This window comes from Homo sapiens, chromosome 3 (genome assembly GCF_000001405.40).
Source record: "Homo sapiens chromosome 3, GRCh38.p14 Primary Assembly".
NCBI lineage: Eukaryota > Metazoa > Chordata > Mammalia > Primates > Hominidae > Homo > Homo sapiens.
In genome coordinates, this window is record NC_000003.12 from 124,131,629 (window position 1) to 124,154,928 (window position 23,300).

General features: G+C 43.2%; 1 protein-coding gene, 1 non-coding gene and 1 pseudogene across 34 annotated transcripts in view; 2 read left to right on the forward strand and 1 right to left on the reverse strand.

Annotated features, from left to right (window-relative positions):
• KALRN (kalirin RhoGEF kinase) overlaps window positions 1–23,300 on the forward strand; it is a 692,957-nt gene that overhangs the window by 98,260 nt on the left and 571,397 nt on the right. The window lies entirely within an intron of this gene.
• MIR5002 (microRNA 5002) lies at window positions 1,301–1,397 on the forward strand. The gene has a single exon (NR_049798.1). It is a non-coding gene; the product is annotated as a microRNA 5002 (primary transcript).
• RPL7P15 (ribosomal protein L7 pseudogene 15) lies at window positions 20,253–20,934 on the reverse strand (annotated as a pseudogene).

A 23,300-nucleotide genomic window follows, 5' to 3' on the forward strand; every position in this document is an offset into this window, starting at 1 on the left:
CAGGGCTCTCAGTGGCAGCTGTGACATCAGGGTGTAGGAACACATGAGGTGACTTGTGTGTTGGGAAATTGTGGTGATTACAGAAGCAGCCACTGCCGGGAGGTCAGCATCACATGCTTAGAATGATGGTTCTTTTCCAGGTGAAGCCCTTGGACTACTGTGGCCAAGTGAACAGTGCCCTGTTTAGACAACCCAGGCCCATTTCTGGCTTTTCCACCAAATAATTATGTGACACAAGGCAATCTGTTCGCTTCCCTGGACCTTAGTTCCTCCTCTGTAAAATGGGGGAAATGATGTCATAAGTCCCTCTGAGCTCTAACTTCCTCCATGTCTTCCCCACATAGCCAGTTCTCACTTTTTTTCCGTATGTGTATTATATGGTCAGTTTTAAATCTGGAACAGTCTTCTTTTCATGTGGCTGTTTTTTACAAGTAGATCTTTAAGAAGACAACTCAGCTGCCAAGAATCATGTTGTCTCCTAACAAACAATATCCATTATTCTGGAATATTGATTATCCATCATTTCAACAACCCAGTATCTCTTTCCATCATTAGTGCTGATGACTGGGTGCTGCCTGAATTACACAACCACTTTCCTATCCCTCCAGCCTCCTCTACCCTGTTGGAGCCCCAGGTGGACATGTCTTGATGAGCAAAGCTGTGCATTAGTAATGCTTAGTTTGGGGCCACATTTTCCTAAGGTTTGTGAGGGAAGCTCAATCATCACTTCAAGTGCCCAGAGCCTAGAACCCGAGCCGGTGAGAACACTGATGGGAGGAGAAGAAACTTAGTGAGAGGGAGCCTCCATCACTGGGAAGTGAGCACTGCAGCACCGCACAACACATACTCCTGGACTTCTTTCCTGGCCTGAGCTTTTCAAGGCTGAATGAATGTGCAAAGCCAGGAAGAAAATACCTTACTCTCCTCTGGTCAGCCTGGGCAGAGATCTTCTTTTACACACGGCAGGACTTGGGGAAGGAAGAGGAGGATGATGAGGCCAGGAGAAGGTGACTTTGTTGTGTCTGGGAAGGAACCAGGGCCTTGTAACTCAGAGAATTGGGGAAAAGCTTTGTGGCACCTTCATTTTTCTGGCTCCTTCATGGCTGTTTTGGCAGGGATTTTTGCCCCGTCTCACATTCCAAGTTCTTTCATGAGAGCTTTGTGGGTCAGAGGCAGGGAACTAGACCAGACCTTAACCTCTGAAGACACAAATTCTCCCCTGGCAGCCCCTGTCTCTTTGGGAGTTGTTCTGGTTCCTCCTGCTGGGGCATTTACACTGTTTTCTCTGAAGTCAAATCCATCTTCCTCTCTGTCCTCTGGAATTTGGTTTCTGAGGCACTTAGTAGGTGATAGCATGACTGACTGCCTCACTGACCACTTCCAGATGAGGGTTACTCTCCTCACAGCACGGCCTTGAGGCAGCTCATGCCAGGGATGCTGCCTGTGTTCCAACTGTGGATCTGCATTCTGGGAACAGCCAATTGATCTGATGGTGCGGGGTTACTTTTTATTTTTTAAATTTAAAAATTAAAAAAAATATATCCTTAGTGGTGATTAAAACTTCAGAACTGTTTTTGAATACTAATTTGGTTTTTGGAAACAGCCCAACTCCATTCGGGAAAATCTGGGGAAGAGGGAATCAAATCTGGGCAAGCTGGGTGACAGTATTTTAGTTTAAAAAACAAAACAACAACCTTCCTCTCTCCCCCACCTCAAAAAAACACAACACAAGGTTTGTCTATTAAGTAATGAAACAGTTTGCTTGTTTTTAAATTTAGAACGACAGTCGAGGCTGTTTTCAGAAGTTCAAAAATGTTTAGTGTCTGCTAGAATAAGCACAGAGCCCCGGAGGTAGCTAACAAGGACAGCCCTCATTTCTGTCTTCAATTCAGGAGGCCACAGGTCAGGATCTGTGGCATTGTGGAGGGCCCACCCAGGGCACTGCCTGTGATTGCAGACCCACTCCTGTGCCTTATGGGGAGGGAGGCGCTAGAGGAATCTGGGGCTATTGCCAAGTCCCCTATCGTTCACATGTTCCTGGAGAAGGAGTTTGGATACTGACAAATCCTGCATCAGGGAGGGCTACCTGAGTCCAGAGATCTCATCCTGAGCCTGTCTGCTTGCCTGGAACCACAGGCAAAAAGAGTTTCAGGGCAGCCGGAATAGGACAACATGTTCCTAGTATAACTAAAATGGCCTTTATCAAGTTGCTTTAAAGAGGTGTTCTTTGACTGCTGAAAGAAATCATAGATGACACAAACAAATGGAAACACATCCCATGCTCATGGATGGGTAGAATCAATATTGTGAAAATGACCATACTGCCAAAAGCAAGCTACAAATTCAATGCAATCCCCATCAAAATACCACCATCGTTCCTCACACAGTTAGAAAAATCAATTCTAAAATTCATTTGGAACCAAAAAGAGAGCCCATGGAGCCAAAGCAAGACTAAGCAAAAAGATTAAATCTGGAGGTATCACACTACCTGATTTCAAACTATACTATAAGGCTATAGTCACCAAAACAGCGTGATACTGGCATAAAAATAGGCACATAGACCAATGGAACAGAATAGAGAACCCAGAAATAAACCCAAATACTTACAACCAACTGATCTTTGACAAAGCAAACAAAAACATAAAGTAGGGAAAGGACACCCTTTTCAACAAATGGTGCTGGTATAATTGACTACCCACATGTAGAAGAATGAAACTGGATCCTCATCTCTCACCTTATACAAAAATCAACTCAAGGTGGATTAAAGACTTAAGACCTGAAACTATAAAAATTCTAGAAGACAGCATTTGAAAAACCCTTCTAGACATTGGCTTAGGCAAGGATTTCATAGCCGAAAACCCAAAAGCAAATGCAATAAAAACAAAGATAAATATCTGGGACCTAATTAAACTAAAGAGCTTTTGCATGGCAAAAGGAACAGTCAGCAGAGTAAACAGACAACCCACTGAGTGGGAGAAAATCTTCACAATTTATACATTTGACAAAGGACTAATATCCAGAATCTACAACGGACTCAGACAAATCAGTAAGAAAAAAACAAACAATTACATCAAAAAGTGGGTTAAGGACATGAATAGACGATTCTCAAAAGAAGATACACAAATGGCCGACAAACATATGAAAAAATGCTCAACATCACTAATGATCAGGGAAATGCAAATCAAAACCATAGTGCAATACCACCTTACTCCTGCAAGAATGGCCATAATAAGAAAACAAAAAAACAGTAGACATTGGCGTGGATGCGGTGATCAGGGAACACTTCTACACTGCTGGTGTGAATGTAAACTAGTACAGCCACTGTGGAAAATAGTGTGGAGATTCCTTAAGGAACTAAAAGTGGAACCACCATTTGATCCAGCAATGCCACTACTGGGTATCTACCCAGAGGAAAAGAAGTCATTACTTGAAAAAGATACTTGCACACGCATGGTTATAGCAGCACAGTTCACAATTGCAAAATTGTGGAACCAACCCAAATGCCCATCAATCAATGAGTGGATAAAGAAAATGTGGTATATACATATGATGGAATACTACTCAGCCCTAAAAAGGAATGAATTAACAGCATTTGCAATGACCTGGATGAGATTGGAGACTATTATTCTAAGTGAAGTAACTCAGGAGTGGAAAACCAAGCATCGTGTGTTCTCACTGATATGTGGGAGCTAAGCTATGAGGACACAAAGGCATAAGAATGATACAGTGGACTTTGGAGGCTTGTGGGGAAGAGTGGGAGGGGGGCAAGGGATAAAAGATTATAGATATGGTGCAGGGTGTACTGCTTGGGTGATGGGTGCACCAGGATCTCACAAATCACCACTAAAGAACTTACACATGTAACCAAATACCACCTGTACCCCGATAACTTATGGAAAATAAAATTTAAAAAATAGGTGTTCTTTGAAAGGGTGTGGGGGTGTTAGAGGTCTGGGGTCTGCACTGTGAGCTGTCTTATAGGGAAAGTCTGGTTCCAAGGGACCCAGCCTGTTTTTAAGGACAGCGAATCAAGATGCTGGGATTATGGAGATGGCTGCTGAAGAGAACTCTTGCCCCAAACTATGAACAGTCATGAAGTTTTCTTTCTTGGTGGGGAAGGGTCCTTGATGAGGGACCAGTGTAGGGGACATTCTAAACACAGCAGCCCAGCTGCTCAACTCAGAGTCAACCAGGGGCCCATTCTGGAGAAAGAAGGGAAGTGATGAACACTGGGCATCTGCTATATACTGGGCATTTCCTTATATCATTTTATGTAATTCTCAATAGTCCTTCAAGGGACTGTTACATTCCCCATTCTACAGATGAGAAAATGGAGGCACAGATGGTGCAGCTGCTTGTCCTCATCTCCTTACTGCAGGATCCCTTCTCACTTGCCTGCATACCCTGTTACAGTCTTTGCACTCAGTATATTGCATTGTGATGACTTCCCCACACCTAGAAATTCTAATGAAATTGGTCTGGGATGGGGCCCAGACTGGTATTATTTTAAAAGCTCCCCAGCTTATTTTAATTGCAGCCAGGGCTAAGAACTGATAGTTTAGATTATGGGTTTTTCATTTTTTTTTTTATATCCCCAGGGCCTAAGTCAGTGGAACTCAAACTTGAGCACACATCAGAATAATCTGGAGGACTTGTTAAAACACAAGTTGTTTGCCCTACCTTCAGCGTTTCTGATTCAGCAGGTCTACAGTGGGCCCAAGAATTTATACTTCTCACAAGTTCCCAGGTGATGCTGATGCTGCTGGTCTGGGGACCTTGCTATGAGAGCCCCTGATCCTTTAGAACGAGAGGAGGCACTTGTTCATTACATGCTGACTGAATTTTACCAAATTGCCAAGGTCCCCCCCCCATTGATTGGAATCAGGATTTGAATACTGGCCTACCAGGTAGCAAATAGGCTGGCTCTAGGGGAGCCTGGGTGGTAGAGTGAGGTGGGCCTGCCTGTCTACTTAACCTCTGGGAGGAGAGTAGAGTTTGTTGGCCTTTAGGGTCTCCTCACAGGGAGAAACAATAACCAGTTTCTTGCCAGGAAACCTAGTGGCTGTTAAAGGCCCAGAAATTTTGGGTAGAGGTTTGAGGCAGCCAGAAGATCCTAGAATCCTAATCCAGGACACAGATTCCTAGTGCAGAGTGTGACCTGGGAAAAGATGGTCATGGATGTGCATGTACCAGAGTGTTTGTTACAAAGCTGGTGACACTGCTCTTTAAAGTTACTTCTTGTTTTCGCACTACAGGAAATTATGGAGGCACTAGTGATGGAAACAGGGCGGAGTGATGCCAGAGGTGGGGAGCGAGGCCCTGAGCAGACCCGGATGATTAGGGAACAGGGTTGATGGGGCAGAGCAGCTGTGAGAGTTTGGGCACCTGGAAAGAATGTTTGAGGCCACAGCAGGAATGGTGTGTTTGGGAGAGGAGGAAGAGGCTATGCTGATGAATATAGCAGAGGACATGGGGAGTCTGGATTCTCATTCTGGAGGGACGTGCTTGTTACCTGGACACTGGAGTCGCCGGTTTTGCTGAACAATGCATTTAAAAAATGAAACCTCAAAACAAATATTTACTTACGTGTACAACACTGTTCTAGATGCTGTAGGGCTGCCAAAAACTGGTTAATGAGAAAAAGCAGAGTGAGGTAAGTGTTAAGTGATTGTTGCAGGTGGCAAGTCCATAAGAGTGGGGAGAAGAGTCCAGTTGGCTGTGTGGCTGGGAAGGCTGTGAGCCTGCTGGTCCTGGCAGGATGAGTGAGTGTGAGATGTGCTGTGTCAATGGGGTGAGCAAAGGTGTAGGGTGGGGCTCTAATGAGGGACAGCTCATTATGGGAGCAATGGAGCATTTGTGCAGAGGATGTAAGGATGTGGTTGAAAAGGGGAAATGAATGAATGCCACCTTGTCCTTGTTTGCTGTTCCCTCTCTCTCTCCAAGTGTGAGGGCTGGGACTAACTTGAGGATGCAAGCCTCCTGACTAGCAGGGCTGCTGGAACTGACTACTTCTTAAAAGAGTTTCTCCAAGGAGTCCTTACACGCAAATTTTATGTTATTTTTACCCTTTCCAGAAATACTGGAGGCTGGAGGAAGAGGAGGAAAGCTCTCTCTCCTTTTAGAAATGGGACTACTGAGGTCTAGAGAAGGGAAAAGGCTAAAAATGGTGCTCTGGGTGTGGGTCGGATGCAGGGAGATGGCTGAAATGGCCATCTGAATGTAATAGTGTCCTCTGAGGGCAGGGGTGAAGGGCACAGTTTTCTCTGAACAGCATTGGGATATGGATGCTTGACCCTAAGAATCTTCTGTAAAGTATGTGTTTTTGTGGATCTGGGAGGAAGTATAGAGAACAAGGGAGGTCAGAACAGCCCTAGTCGGAGCTTAAGGCCCTGGACATTCCCAGGGATCCCCAGTGGCCCCCAGCAGGCTGGTATCTCAAGGTTCACAGAGCCTGTCCTGGGTGCCACATCCTAGCACTGTGGTTTCAGGCATCTCCCACAATTTGTGCCACTTCCACCACCCTCCTGCAGCTTTCTCTTTGCCCCTCACTGCCACCTCTGGGCTCAGTGGGAGTTGAGCAGCTAATCAGAACTGCAAAATCCTCTCTCCCTGCTGGATCACCATTAGACATCAATTTAGCATGTCTTTGGAGAGACCTACTCTTTTCCACTCCCCCAACTTTGAAGTCAGTTAGCTCTGACTAAAAGAGGGGGAGGGGAGGCTCTCTGTGCTCTACTCCACCAGTGGTATCACCCACCAGTATTTATACCAAAGAGGTTCTGTTGCCTTGACAACTTTCTTGCATGGGTTCTGGTGCTCAGAATATCTGACAAATAGCAATGCTTCACACTCAATGGGCAGAGACAGACAAGCAGATCAAAGAGCAAATCTCAATGATCAATGCCAGGGTCAAAGATGAAAAGAGTGACTGAGGCAGGATACAAGAAAGCCACTGAGGCCAGAGGATTCACTGAAGTTCTTCCCTTCTCCCATATTCTCTCCCTCCACCTTTCCTTATGTATTCTCCTCCTCCTTTCTGTGGAATTCCCGGGCCTTTTGGTCTTCATAGATCAGTCATCAGCATGAACTAGGGGGCCTGTATGGCAGAGTATTCCCCTGGACCACTGAAGGGACATGGTGAGTACAGAGGGGGTAACTCCTAACTATGGCTTTGGTCCTCAGAGAGCTCCCAGCTTGTTGGAGGAGACCATGGTATTCATCTCCATGACACTTCTGCTGGGGGGAAAAGGAAGGCTATTAGTGTGAGGGAGCCCAAAAGTTGAGATGGTGTTCTCTGATATTGTTTACATATGTATGTATCATGGCGCATATAATACAGATGTGAGGCCACAGAAAAAGCTCACTGCAAAGATAAATGGTGCAAGAGTGGGGACCGGGGAGCATATGGGAGGACTTGCAGCAGGAGGCTGGGGAAGCTAGCCCAGGGATAAAAGTCCTTTTGTGGTAGAGAAGAGCTCTCCTCTCAGGTTCCATCTATAGGGCCCAGATCCTTTCTTTTTTCTCTTGGTTACATGGTCCTTTGTGAGAACCATATCTCCTTGGATGCAAAAGACCAGAGTAATGAGGAGGCAAAGGGATTCTGATGTTGACAACACTCTCTTTAAGTTGTTCTCCAGAGAAAACATGCTGAATGGGTGGGTGCTCATGTGTCAAAGTTTGGGTGTATATGTTAAGTAAGTGAAGCTTCCACAGAAACAGAACAAAATACTACATCTTTTGTGGCTTCCTATGGCATGATCCTCTTGAGTCACACTTGGATTAGTGTTTTAATGCATTCATTTCTTTATTCCTCCTGCAGTTTATTGTGTACTAGCTATGTACTAGGCCCTGCACAGTATAGACTCTTCTAAACCACTACTTTCTGCTTTGCTGAGAACTGCTGGGCAGCAGTCCCTCTCTTGTTAGGGACAAGGAGGGTTTGTACAGAGAGGAGAGAGGCAGAGCCTTAGGGCACAGTGAGAGGGAATGCAAGAGTGGTCAGATACATGGTAGAAAAACCAGAGCACCTGGGGGTTCCCTTGTCAAGGGTTGCAAGGAAGGAGAGGGCACTACACTCAAGGATTGGAGAGTGAGATAGAACTGTGGGGGATTGGATGTGAGGAGATCATGGTCATCTTTGAAATAACAGTTTCAGGACTGGGTTGGTGCAGAATGAAAGCTTAGGTGAGCAACAAGGGGGGATTTTGTATCATCTGAAAGGGCTTCCTGGTTTCAGACCTCCTTTCTCCTGGTACACCTTGATCTCTCTAACTCTGCCTTCACGGGAGATAGAAGTGGCTTTTCTGTTGCGCTTTGCCGTGCTCTCTGGAGAGGTCCTGCCCCCTATCTTTCATATTGTACCCTAAAGGGCCCATATTGTCATATGGTAGTTCCACCAGCAGAGTTATCTCTCTTGTGACTTCTTTTATCTGATGATTAGGACTGATCCCCAGTGAAGCTGTGAAACTTGCTTTCTAGGTCCCTTTGCCAGTCCGGTCAATCGTTGACTAACTTCAGTAGCCTACCCAAATATGGCCAATGATTCCACCTCCAGAATGCCCCTCTCCTCCTCTCCAAAGCATTAAAACCCTGGCTCCCCCAGGCATCTGATAAATGAATACATACTCTTGTACTTACGGCTGGTAACAACTCACTAAGTTATGCCTCACAGGAGAATGTGTAGTTTAAAAGAAACATATTAAGCTAGAGAAATAAATCTCTAATGGTAGAATTTCAACTGCCACTGACAAGCGAATAGAAGTGATATTTTAGGGGCCATGAGCTGCATTTATAGAGCTCTTCTCTGTCTCTGTCAGACCTTATCTTGAGGATGGAATTCAGTTCAAGGTGCCCCAGATGGAACAAGTGAGATTCTTACCCAGGTCTCTCTGAATCCAAAATCTTATCCCCTGTCTCTATAGCAAGATGCTGGGTGAGGTCTCCTGTGATTCCCTGCCCATGGCAAAGGCTAGATGACCCCTCACTAGAGCACAGAAGGAATTCTTGCCTGGACAGGGAAGTGGCTTCACCCTGTTTGAAAGCTTCACTTGCTCTACTGATGGGAATAATTAAGTGTTGGCCCTGAGAGTCCATTCCCATTCTCCCTGTGACTTCTTTCACCAGAGCATACAGTTTCCAACTCCCAAAGCAGCAGCCTTGCCCTCCCGGGGGGGGCACAGGGAGTAGGGGAGGGCTGGTCTCACCCTGGGTCATGGGTGACTTCACCTCCCCTTCCCCAGCCTCAGGTTTCCTTTTCTTGAGTTTATGATTCATGATTATTTCATTTGGATATCTTAGAAGAATCTTAAAAATGCATAGAATGGAAATAATCTACCTCATTACCACCTTCTCCGCAAATTTTTTGTTGGGCTTCTCTAGTTCTGAATGTGATACCATCATGTTCTTGCCTTGAAGCTTGGGTTAACTTTGATTCCGCCTTCTTCAGCCCCCCAGTCACCAGGACTTGTCTGTTTGTCCTTGAAATACCCAGGGAACCGGTCCTTCCTGGCCACCTCCAATGCCATCCCTAATTCAGACTCTCTTCATCCCATGCCTAATAGCTCCTTCCCTGGCTTTCTGAACCCTGCAGGTTTCTTTTACTTCAACTCCTCTTTTCACCATGTCTTTCCTCACTGGAACAGCTGATGGTTTTCATAGCCCTGGTCGAAGATTAGAATCCTCACTCTGTCAGCCACAACTCCCTAGCCTCGCCCAACCCCACTTTTTTATACTGTTTCCCACCAGCTCTGTCTTCTAAGCAAAGTGATCTTCCTTGGAGCATATTTTCTGCTTTTTCTCATGTGGGTGAGATTTTTCCTTTTCCAAATGCCCTTACCTCTCTCATCCTCTCCTCACCTGTCCTCCCCCTGAATCCTTTAAGGCTCAGATCCAAACTCCTTCTTCCACAGAATCCCCATTTAAACTGTACTATGATTTATTTTTGTACATCTCATTTGGCACTTTTTGTAGGTTTTCACTAATTGTTAATTTTCACATTTTATCTCCTTGGTTGCAAATTGTCTTTTCCATAGCACTTGGCACAATGAAGGGTGTTGGTTAGTGACTGCCTGGTTCTCATTCTTTCTGCGTTCTCACCTTCCTTTCAGTCACAGCCTGTCTTTGCCCCAGGAATCTGCCCTTGTTAATCCTGGCTATTTTTCAGCCTGTCAGTATCTCTGCCTGTGTTGCCTCAACCAGTGTTCCTTGCACCCCTTTTTCCTATTAAATCTCAGCATCTCAGAGAAGCAGTGTGGGCCAGTGGGAAGTGCTCAGGCTTTGGGGCTGGGAGGATCTGGGTTTGAATCCCAGCTCTGCTGTGTGGTTTTGAGCAAGTCACTCTCTGAGGCTTTGGCCTTTTCAACTCTGAAAATGGGGAAACTATTCTTTATCATTAGGTAAAAATACATAATAGGCCCTCAGGAAACATTTATCTCCCTCTCCCCTCCATTCTCAATTCCTCCTTCTCCATGCAGCCCTTCCCAAGTACCCCAGGTGATACTCACCTCTGCTCTTACTGAGATCCTGTGGCATGTACAGTGTCAGAGACATAGGGCTAAGCTTTGTTTATGTCTCTCAACTTAGAGAGCGGATGCCTGAGGTCCAGAGATGTGGAGCGACTTGCCACAGGCTTCCCCAAGCAGGTAAGTGGCTGAGCCAGGTCCAGCACTCAGTCCTGCGTTTCAGGCAGGTGTCTGTCTCTGTACCCAGCCAACACATGGGCTCCTTCAGCTTGAGGGCTGTCTCTATCCCCACAGCATCCTGCACAATGTTGAATGAACATGGAGAAGGTGCTTAATAAATACTTGTTGGTCAACTATGTGTGTGAGTCCTACTTCCCTGGTGGGAGTAAAGATTGTTATGTTCAGCTTTTGTCCCTTTTTGGTATTCATTGCAGGCCTGGTTACAGTACCTGAAGGTTAATTTCAGACCTAAGAACCAGGGTTTTTCAGTGGTTCCTGGGGCTGTCCCTACAGTATTCTGCCTAGCTCTGGAGAGAATGATTCTGTGGAGTGTCCATTTGTGAGCGGCTCCGTGGGGAGAGGCCTGTGTGTGTAGCCTCGATGCTTGCTTATACCACTTTTCCTCCCACTCTGTACTCCTCCAGCCTCCCCTCTTTCCATCTCCACCCCCCACCCACTCCCTGCACCATGCCGCTGCTCTCCCTGCTCTAAGAATAAATCATCACTGTTGCATAGCAACGAGTTTGGTTTCCTTTACTCCTCCTTCTCCTCCTCCTCCCACAAAAGTGCCTCAGTGCTAAATTTAAGGTAGTGTGTCAGGGGATGCTATCACCCCACAAATGCCTCTGAACCCCAGCATTGTTTCCCTATAGCTACTAGCTTTATAAGGACAGAAACTGTGATGGCTTTTTTTTTTCACTTTTCTACCCTCAGCACCTAATACAGTTTCTAGTACTAGGCACATAGTAGGTGTTCAGTGAAAATCTATTGGATGATTAATGAATGAATCATTTTATTGGAATTCTTGCAGTTAAGAGGTGCTTCTGGGAAGGGGAAATGTTATTGCAGACTCTGGGATTATCCATAATTCACCTCTCTTGGCTGGGTGCCTCCCCTCCTTTCTTTCCGCAGCCACCAAAAAAGCTGATCTAGCAAGAAAAGGCACATATTTCTTCATATCTCACTGTCATGTGGATGGTGGATGTGTTTCCCTCTCTATTTTCTGGAAACTGGTGGTTCAGGCAATCCACATGGTTTATTGAGCCCAATGGGAAGTACCAGTCTAATGGGGCTTTAGGGTTGGGAACAGATTGCTCTTTTTGATGACAGGAGTATGAGGCTTGTTTTCTGGGGAAGATGGACGTCTGTGAGCTTTGAAGTCACAAAGTCCTGGATTTGAATCCCAGCTCTGCAACTTGCGAGCTGTGTGGCCCTGGGTGGGTCCCTTAACTTAGTTCATGGGTTGTAAGAATTGCATGAAGAAAACTACTAATAGAGCCTCACAGAGTGCTAGGAAACAAGGGTGCCCAAATAGTGTGTGTTTCTTTTTCCCCTTTAAATGGAGAGAGAGAAACATACCAGAAAATACCTATTAATGCTAGTGATGGAATGCCATCTATACATAGACAGGCAGGACAAACAAAGGTAAACCAAGTGAAATTTAACAATTTTGGTGTCCTAAAAGCTTCCAATAAAGACTAAAAAGGCTCTAATGTATATTTGTTCAATAAATAAGACTGGCGTCAAATTCTGTTTGAAAGTGGGGCATATATCCTAAATAAATAAATTTTAAAAAAGCCAGTTTTCATTTTAGAACAGGATAATCTGAACAATTGGAAGCTATTAGATGGGCAGTAAGGGGGGGATCTAAGGAGTGTCTCTTTTGGGGCCAGAGGGAGTGTTCTCCTTGGACCTAACATATGTACCTTTTTTCTTTTTCTGGCCTGAAAAATAAGTGTTGGATTTCACAACTGACTCCCTAGCTACCCTATGTTCATCTCCTTCCAAACATTCCCAAATAGCATCCCAAATTGACTCAGTTGTAGCTTCATGGAGTAGGAAGTCCAGGATCCAGAGGGAGAATGACAAGTCCAGCTGCTCCTCTGAGATCCTGGAACTAGAGGTTGGAGAGGAGGCTGGGAAGGGGCCACTGTTCAGCTAAAAATAGCAGCATCAGCAACTAAAGAGCAGCCAGAGATCAGAACCTGGGGCAGCCCCAGGCACGCATTCCCAGCAGAGAAGTCTGAGCTTAGCTAAATTTTTCCCTGCTCCTTAGGAAGGGGTAGTGGGTACTGCCTGATCTTCTGTGTCATCTGTGCATCTGTGCCTGCCCACAGTGGGCAGCTAGCATCTCCCCTTCCAGGTATGCACACCACTTCCTTGTCATTGTCACCATCATCCTCGTCCTCCTCCTCTTCCTCATTGTCCTCCTTCTCCTCTTCCTCGTCCTCCTCCTCTTCCTCATCATCCTCCTCCTCCTATTCCTCATCCTCCTCCTCTTCCTCGTCTTCCTTCTCCTCCTCTTCCTCATCCTCCTCCTCTTCCTCATCCTCCTCCTCTTCCTCATCCTCTTCCTCTTCCTCATCCTCCTCCTCTTCCTCCTTCTGGTTGCCATTTCTCATCCTCCCCTTCCCTCTTGTCTCTCTGCAGCATTACCACAGCAGCATCCATTTACTAGACTTTCATAAACGAGTCACTTTTTACAGTGTTCTTGGGCCTCTGTCGTCTGGAAGTCTGTAGTTTGAGATGGCACCCTGGACTGAAGGCTTCCAGGAAAACAATCCAAGCAGCCATTAAATAAACATGAAATAGATGAGATAGAGTGTTCTTACTCTGTAGAAGTTGAGGCCAGTGGTATTTGTGGAGCCTTCTGGGTGTGTGTTCAAGAAAGCCCAGGAGTTTCCTGCTTGAAAAAGGTGAGGGTGGACTAAGTCAGTGCTTTCCTAGGGACCAGTGTTTGAGGGGAGGAGCAAGCCCTTCTCTTATGGGCAAGAGGATGCTTCCTGGCTAGAGCTTAAGGCTGGACCTTGGGAAAAGATGCCCAGCAGCTGGAGGTGAGGGATCTGAGGAGACAGGGTTAAGGCCATGTTCGCATTTGCTCCAGACCTATCCTCCTCCCTTTATCGATCTACTGATCCAGTGACTCCCTCATTCATCTACTCAACAAACATTTAAGGAACTCTGCTACGTACCTGTGTGGATGGGAGAGTGTTCTAAATCAGTGAGTTTTCACCCTAGCCACACGTTGGAATTGCCTATGGAACCTGAAAAACGCTGATGCCCAAGCTTCACCCCAGATCAATGACATTAAAAAGTCTCTGGGTCTGAGATGTAGGAGTGAGTATTGTATCAGAGTTCCCTGAGTGATTTCATTGTTCTGTCAGGGTAGACAGCCACTGGTCTCAGTGACATCTGAGGCTTCTTCCTGTGGCAGTGCCACTCACTGCCCCTCTTCTTCTGAGTGACATGACCAAAGGTGTGACTTGCAGTCACTGCAGCAGCTGCTACTCTGTGCCCACTTCACATAAACGTCTACTGAGCAGCTAGTATGTGCCCAGCATTAGAGAGACACAGAGATGAGGCTAACAGTATCCCCAGGAAGTAAATTAATGTAACCACTCCATTTCCTTAAATGTTTATCTGGTGAGCCAGAAGCCAGCTTTTCTGATGAATGGGATTTTCTGAGATTTGTCCTGTCTTCTCCCTCTGTGGAAGAAACTGTGACTATATCTGGTACGTTTCAGTTAAATGGAGATGAAGCAGGTGGTAAAAAAGACACACACAGAAATAGATGGAATGCAGGCAAACAGGGAGGGATGTTGAAGGGACAAAGTGTTCTCTTTAGGCAGGTTTTCAAGGGTGCACCATCAAGGTGAAATCATGGAAAGGTAAAAGTAAATAATATGCCTGTTTGAGTGCTTAGATTATCAGCAGGAATTGGGCCCTCATGAGGCATCTGGTTCTGAGCACAGTGGGCATGACCCTGGCACTCAGAGAGCATACAATCCTCCTTGGCAATTAAAACCAATATCCAAAACACAGAGATCTTAAGCCCTCAGTTGTGTTTCACTGAAAGTAAGGTTCCTACAGGCTTGGAGAAGGGAGGTAATGGAGAAGTGCTCCCTAAAGTGTGGTCCATGGAACTGCTCTGCCAACCATTTGTTGTCAGTCAGTAATGAGGAGCACAGAAATAGAAAGGAAGCATTTAGAAACTTTATAGCAATTTGCCAGAGTAATTTTATGTCTGTTGAATCTAAAAATTAAAAAATTGGAACTTTTGTTTTTAAAATTGTACTTTGCTGGTAATTCATTTTCATTATAGTTTACTAAAGTACTAGTCTATAACAGATTAGAATAAAAGCAGAAAAAAAAATCAAACTGAGCCTTCACTGCAAATGGCTCGAGGAGAAGCACTGGACTGGAAATTTGAGACATCCTGGCAGGCTAGAGAGGTACTAGAAGGTGGGGAAAGGGCAGATGTTCTATCGGATGTTAAAAAGGGAGTAAGGGCCAGGCTCAGTGTCTCACGCCTGTAATCCCAGCACTTTGGGAGGCCGAGGCAGGCAGATCACTTGAGGCCAGGAGTTTGAGACCAGTCTGGTCAACATGGTGAAACCCCATCTCTACTAAAAATACAAAAATTAGCCAGTATGGTGGTGCATGCCTGTAATCCTAGCTACTCAGGAGGCTGAGGCAGGAGAATCGCTTGCGCCTGGGAGGCAGAGGTTGCAGTGAGCTGAGATTGCACCTCTGCACTCCAGCCTGGGCAATAGAGCGACTCTGTCTCAAAAAAAAAAAAAAAAAAAAGAAAAGAAAAAAAAAGAGGTGGGGGTTAGTAAATCCTGGAAACCTAGAACTTATCCATGAGTGAGGCTCTAAAACAACAAATATTTATTGAGTTATTTGTGGATGCTGGAACTATACCATGTGCTTTATATAAATTATTTTATTGTCTCCTTTTACAAAACTATGTGAGATAATAGCGCTCATCACCATCTTTGTTTTGCGAGGCTTGAAAAGAGCAAGTAAGGTCCCCAGGTTATCACAGCTAGTGAGTGGTGGGCCTACATTTTAAAGCCAGGTGTGTTGGACTCCAAAGCCTAATGGTTTATAACTCCCCACCCCATGCAGCCCCTCCAGGTGAGAGGGAGCACAGGCAATAGGCTCTGCCCATCCAGACATTCCAGAATACGAATGAGGAGAAGGCCCTGCAGATTCAGATCATGGAGCATCTTCTATAAGCAAGTGCTTATGGAAGATACTCTGCCTCCTAGGGAGAGACAGAGTGTGGACTTTTATCTGACAGTTCTTGCTGTCTGTTTGCCTCCGTGTTATTTCAAGAAGTATTTGAGTAGGTGGACCTATCCTAGTTTGGGCCTTTTATTAGGTTTTGAATTGTCCTGTCAGTAGCTTGTGTTAGTGGCATCTCCATCCATTAGAAAAAAATTATTTTGAAATAATTATACCTTCATAGGAAGTTGCAAAGAAACATACATGGAAGTCCTGTGTGCCCTTCATCCAGCATCCCCCACTGTTAACATCTTGCACAACTGTAGTACAATATCAGACTAGGAAATAATCCACAGACTCATCCATCCAGTTTTTCTCCCATATTCTGAGAATCACATTTTAAAAGAAGCATCACTAGGCCAAAGTGTATCTGGAAGAGGGAGAGGGTGGTTGGTCTAGAAGCCAGGTCATATCCAGAAATTCTAAGGGACTGTTGTGAGCTTTTTGCATATAGATGCTGTATGTTATTTACATGTCCTGTCTTAGCACCTAAAACAGTGTGAGGCACACAGTTGATCCTCAGATGTTTTTTGGATTGAATGTTTGATTCAGAGCGTAAAACCTGTGTACACACATAATGGGTGCCTTCCGTGTTGTGGGGCCTTTAGTGAGGAAGAAGGGTGAGATTTGTCTGTCCCCTATTGCTCTAGAATGCAGAGCTGGGATTAATGAAAGTGGGAAGGATGGAACAAGAAACATCCCACCCAGATGTATAGAAGGACTTGACCAACAATGGGAACAATGCAGCAGGGATGTAGTCGGCTCCCCTCTACTGGTTGTGTTTAGTCAGTAGCAGGCCATCAGGGGTTCAGTGGGATGATTAATGCATTTTTTGTTTTTAGTACTAGATCAGATGGCTTTAATGGAAATCTCTTTCAGTTTCTTGTTTCTGAGATTCTAAGAACATGTGCTTATGGACAGAAATAGGATAACTGGGAAGGGGCACCAGTTTATGAGAGGAATCTTCATGGAGTTTGAGGAAACAGCAAAACTTTCTCATGGAAGATCACCTGTAGATTTTGAAAACACTGTATTTGCTTTTTAAAAGGAAGATCATAGGCAGCCAGGTATGAAACCCCTTCTCTTAGTGTTTCTGTGTAACCTGTGGAATTTGCCCAGGGGAACATCTAGAGTTAACCTGGAAATCAGATGCTTTTCTTTCAGGCAGCATTTGGCAACATCAAAACATCAGTTCTAGAGAATATTGTGGGTGCTAGAGTCTGACTATAGGTGACATGTTTTTGTCATGTTAATCAATTATTGAAATTAAGGAGAAGATTATTGCAATTTCTATTCCAGGAAATGAAGCATGCGCTGAGTTAATCAGATTACTTTCAGGTGAAAAAGGAAAAAAAAAATAGGTAAAGGTTCTTAAATTAGGCCACCTGAGAAGGTTATTATATATTCATATATGATTACCTGGAAGGTATGAATTTAAATGATTTATGTTTTTATTTCATTCTGGCTAGCAAGGAAGATAGAAACTATTCCTTTCATGTGTTTTAAAAGCTCACAGAAAATCCATCATTTTTTAGTTGGGGAGAAGAGAAAGGAACAAAAATGTATTTACTGCCTACTATATGCCAATAACTTTATATTATTATTATGTTAATTTTCACAATAATTCTGATGGGTATATTTTATCATTATTATTTTATGACTAAAAAAACTGAAACTCAGAGCAGATAAGTGTTCTGGGGCACACATTGAGTGAAAAATAGAGCTGGGACTGAAAGCCAGGTCTGGCAGACTCCAAAGCCAGTGCTCTTTATGCTGTTTACTATTGGCGGCATGCAACCCTAGCAGAATCCAAACTGACTATGTTCATGAATGGATTTCAGAACTTGTATGTCTCATAACCACAGGTGTCAGTTCCCTGTCTGTAGCAAAGTCTGCCCAGATGAGTCTACCATTGCTGATGACCTTTTGTAGTAGAGTCAGACTCAGGCATTGAAACCATTGCTACAAGTAGGAGTCTTGGCACCTACCTATCTCCCTGTACCCCCCAGTGCCTCCACAATGCATGATCTTGAAGGTGAATGCTGTCCTTTCCTTTGACTGTGGCACAGCTTCCAGCTTGCCTGCTGCCCAGTGTCTAATAATCCTAGCTTAATTTTTTTCCAAGTTTTGGAAGTGGGATCTCATTCTCTTAAGTGGCTTGGAGAGAAGCCAAGAGACCCCATGGTACAAAGGACAGAGCACATGACAAATATGTTCTATCCATGCTATGGAACTTGCCAGCCATGTCGTTTTAAAGAGTCTCTTAGTTGTCTGAGTCTCAGTTCTTTCACCAATGAAAAGGGGATAATACTAACCTTCTCTATTTTCATTGTAAGGTGAGTATGAGATTCAGATGCTATTGGTATCTAGGAAACTCTGAAAATAATAAGGCATTATACAAATGTAAGAGAACCATCTGTCCTCTGCAAAAGCTTTCCTCCAGAAGAGGTGAAAGCCAATACACACGGCAGAGTAGGGAAACATCAGCTTTTACTAGCCAGCCGGGTTCCGTTTTGCTAGAAGTAGACTTGGTCTCTGTGGCCTCCTCTTTTCCCTGAATAGCATAGCTGTGTTTCTTGGCTTGGCTTATTGAAATAATTGCTCCCAATCTTCCCTTTCCAATGAATGCCAAGCTGTTAGACCTGAACTACAGCCACTGGCTGAAGCCTTCCAAAGATCCTGATTGGGTGGACTGTGTCTTGCTCAGCTTAATTTGCTTGCTGGTTATGTAAATATTAGGGTTGTTAATCTTCATTAGAGGGTGTTAGCCAAGAAAAATTGTATTTTTATAAACCTGTATATTAACATGGGGAAAAAAGTAAAAGTAAACCAAACAAAATTGAACAACTTTGATGCCCTAAAAGCTTCCAATGAAAACTAAAAAGCCCCTTATGTGTATTTGTTCAACAAATAAGACCATGGCTTCAAATTATTTTTGAAAGTGGGACATAGATACTAAATAAATTAAAAAGCAAATTTTCTTTTTTTTTCTTAAGGAATGTTCAAGTTTTTTAAATTATTATTATACTTTAAGTTCTAGGGTACATGTGCACAACGTGCAGGTTTGTTACATATGTATACATGTGCCATGCTGGTGTGCTGCACCCATTAACTCGTCATTTACATTAGGTATATCTCCTAATGCTATCCCTCCTCCCCACCCCACAACAAATTCTCATTTTGAAGAGAATAATCGGGATAATTAGAAGCTATCCATTTTGCTGTCATTTATAGATTTGAGTTTGCAAAGCAGTTTTCATGGATTTTTTATTTTCCTACATGGACTTTATTCCTTAAATGTAGTTTGTGTTTATATTTTCATGTTATAAACTTTTCACTGAAGTATAGCAAGTGTACAGAAGAGTGCACAAATTCTAAGTGTACAGCTCCACGGATTTTTACCCAGTGAACACACTTGAGTAATCAGCACACAGATCAATAACATTATGAGCACCCTAGAACATTAGCCCCTGCAGGGTCCCTTTCTGTTGACTAGCTCCTCCTCTCAAGGGTAATCTCTGTGGCAACTCCCAGCATCATAGATTAGTTTGCCTGTTTTGAAACTTGGTATATGTAGAATCCTAAAATACACACTGTTTTGTGTCTGTCCTCTTTTGTTCAATGTTATGTATGTGAGATTAATCCATGTTGTGTATAGCAATTTATTTCTATATTGTATAAATATGCCACAATTTATCCATCTTACTGTACAAGGTATTTGGGTTGTTTCCAGCTTGGTGCTATTATGAATAAAGCCGCTATGGATACTCTCGTACATATCTATTGACGAATATATACACCCAGTTTTGTGGAGTATATACCTAAGGGGAAATACCAAGGAATGGGGTATGAGTATGTTTAGCTTTAATAAACACTGCCAAAAAGTTTTCCAAAGCAGTTATAATGATTTATATCTTCACCAGCAGATAGAACACTTCCCATTGTTTCATACCTTTGCCAATATTTGGTATTATTTGTCTTTTCCATTTTGGCTTTTCTGCTAGGTATGTGGTAGTGTCACATTGTGGGCGTTATGTTTTTGTTTTTTGCATTTCCTTGATGGCTAATGAAGTCTAGAACATTTTCATATGTTTATTCGCCATTTGGATATCCTCTTTTGTAAGGTGAATCTTCATGTCTTTTGCCTCATCTTTGCTATTGAATTATCTGCCTTTTTCTTATTGAGTTGTAAGAGTTCTTTATGCATTCTGAATATGAGTCCTTTGTGGAATATATGTATTATGAATATTTTCTTCCAGTCTGTGTCTTGTCTCTTTACACTCCTTATGATGCATTTTCATGAAATGAACATATGTTATTAACTTTATTGTGGTCCAGTTTATTATTTTTTCTTTTATATTTAGTACTTTTTGTGTCCTGTTTAAGAAATTTTTGTCTACTGTAAATATTTCCTACTGAAAGCTTTATTGTTTTACTTCTCACATTTGGATCAGTAATTCATTTGGAAATGCTTTTAGTGTACGGTGAGAAAGAGAGGTTATTATTACTATTTTGTATTCAATTTGAGAGCAGGTACTGTTTATTAACTGACCAGCTTAGAAAAATAATCATGGTAGACACCTTAGTTCATTCTAATAAGCCTGTTGATCTGGTCCTCCCTGTTGCCAGCATCTCCACCTTCTACAAAATGGATGGTCTTTTTCTTCATTCTGTCTCATGGAGAAGATAATTTAAAGGGCCACAGGAAGTTATTTGCTTCTTTGAAGCGTTTTCCAACATTATAGATCTCATGAATCAGATCCTTCCTGCAGATGATGCAAGAGATCGAACAATCAAAGTGTTATCTGTCAAAGCAATTCGCTTCTTATTGATTTTGCCATAACCACGCTTGTAGATTAGTTCATTTACTGACTTCAGATTTGGGTACCCCTATGCAATATATGGTTCTACAGTCCTCAGCATATTAATTGAAGTCTTGTTAAGCTTCACAAAGGTTCCATTGAAGATTTGACGAAGGCGAAGAAGCTGCAACACCTTTCGGACCTTTGGGCTCACACTATTGATACCTCTGATCCTGATGACAAATGCCAATTTGGGTTCTGCAGGTACATAGAAGTTGCCAGCTTTTCTTGCCATCCTGGCCATTCGAATTTCAGTTCTGTACATCTGCCTATATTCCTTGTTACAGTGCTTTTCTTTTTCTTTTTCTTTTTCTTTTCTTTTCTTTTCTTTTCTTTTCTTTCTTTCTTTCTTTCTTTTTTTTTTTTTTTTTTGAGACAGAGCCTCTCTCTGTTGCCCAGGCTGGAGTGCAGTGGTGCAATCGAGGCTCACTGCAACCTCTGCTGCCCGGGTTCAAGCGATTCTCCTGCCTCAGCATCCTGAGTAGCTGGGATTACAGGCTCCTGCTACTGTGGCTGGCTAATTTTTGTAGTTTTTGTTTGTTTGTTTGTTTGTTTTTCATTGAGACGGGGTTTCACCATCTTGGCCAAGCTTGTCTTGAACTCCTGACCTCGTGATCCACCCGCCTCGGCCTCTCAAAGTGCTGGGATTACAAGTGTGAGCCACTGCACCTGGCTGTGCTTTGCTTTTTCATAGATAAGCTTCCTCCTTGCCTTTTGAAGCACCTTTGTGCAAACTTCTTTCTCAGGTGCTTGATCTTCAGCTCTGTGAAATTCCTTCACTTTTTCTTAAAGGTTTCTGGCACAGCAGGAACCTTCTTCTTTTTTTAATTTTTTTTAATTCTTTTTTAATTTTTAAATTTTTTAATTTTAATTTTTATTTTTTTATTATTATTATACTTTAAGTTTTAGGGTACATGTGCACAATGTGCCGGTTAGTTACATATGTACACATGTGCCATGCTGGTGTGCTGCACCCATTAACTCATCATTTAGCATTAGGTATATCTCCTAATGCTATCCCTCCCCCCTCCCCCCACCCCACAACAGTCCCCAGAGTGTGATGTTCCCCTTCCTGTGTCCATGTGTTCTCATTGTTCAATTCCCATCTATGAGTGAGAACATGCGGTGTTTCGTTTTTTGTCCTTGCGATAGTTTACTGAGAATGATGATTTCCAATTTCATCCATGTCCCTACAAAGGACATGAACTCATCATTTTTTATGGCTGCATAGTATTCCATGGTGTATATGTGCCACATTTTCTTAATCCAGTCTGTCATTGTTGGACATTTGGGTTGGTTCCAAGTCTTTGCTATTGTGAATAGTGCCGCAATAAACATACGTGTGCATGTGTCTTTATAGCAGCATGATTTATAATCCTTTGGGTATATACCCAGTAATGGGATGGCTGGGTCAAATGGTATTTCTAGTTCTAGATCCCTGAGGAATCGCCACACTGACTTCAACAATGGTTGAACTAGTTTACAGTCCCACCAACAGTGTAAAAGTGTTCCTATTTCTCCACATCCTCTCCAGCACCTGTTGTTTCCTGACTTTTTAATGATTGCCATTCTAACTGGTGTGAGATGTTATCTCATTGTGGTTTTGATTTGCATTTCTCTGATGGCCAGTGATGATGAGCATTTTTTCATGTGTCTTTTGGCTGCATAAATGTCTTCTTTTGAGAAGTGTCTGTTCATATCCTTTGCCCACTTTTTGATGGGGTTGTTTGTTTTTTTCTTGTAAACTTGTTTGAGTTCATTGTAGATTCTGGATATTTGCCCTTTGTCAGATGAGTAGGTTGCAAAAATTTTCTCTTCATTTTGTAGGTTGCCTGTTCACTCTGATGGTAGTTTCTTTTGCTGTGCAGAAGCTCTTTAGTTTAATTAGATCCCATTTGTCAATTTTGGCTTTTGTTGCCATTGCTTTTGGTGTTTTAGACATTCCCTTTGAAAATTGGCACAAGACAGGGATGCCCTCTCTCACCACTTCTATTCAACATAGTGTTGGAAGTTCTGGCCAGGGCAATTAGGCAGGAGAAGGAAATAAAGGGTATTCAATTACAAAAACAGGAAGTCAAATTGTCCCTGTTTGCAGATGACATGATTGTATATCTAGAAAACCCCATTGTCTCAGCCCAAAATCTCCTTAAGCTGATAAGCAACTTCAGCAAAGTCTCAGGATACAAAATCAATGTACAAAAATCACAAGCATTCTTATACACGAATAACAGACAAACAGAGAGCCAAATCATGAGTGAACTCCCATTCACAATTGCTTCAAAGAGAATAAAATACTTAGGAATCCAACTTACAAGGGACTTGAAGGACCTCTTCAAGGAGAACTACAAATCACTGCTCAATGAAATAAAAGAGGATACAAGCAAATGGAAGAACATTCCATGCTCATGGGTAGGAAGAATCAATATCGTGAAAATGGCCATACTGCCCAAGGTAATTTATAGATTCAATGCCATCCCATCAAGCTACCAATGACTTTCTTCACAGAATTGGAAAAAACTACTTTAAAGTTCATATGGAACCAAAAAAGAGCCCGCATCGCCAAGTCAATCCTAAGCCAAAAGAACAAAGCTGGAGGCATCATGCTACCTGACTTCAAACTATACTACAAGGCTACAGTAACCAAAACAGCATGGTACTGGTACCAAAACAGAGATATAGATCAATGGAA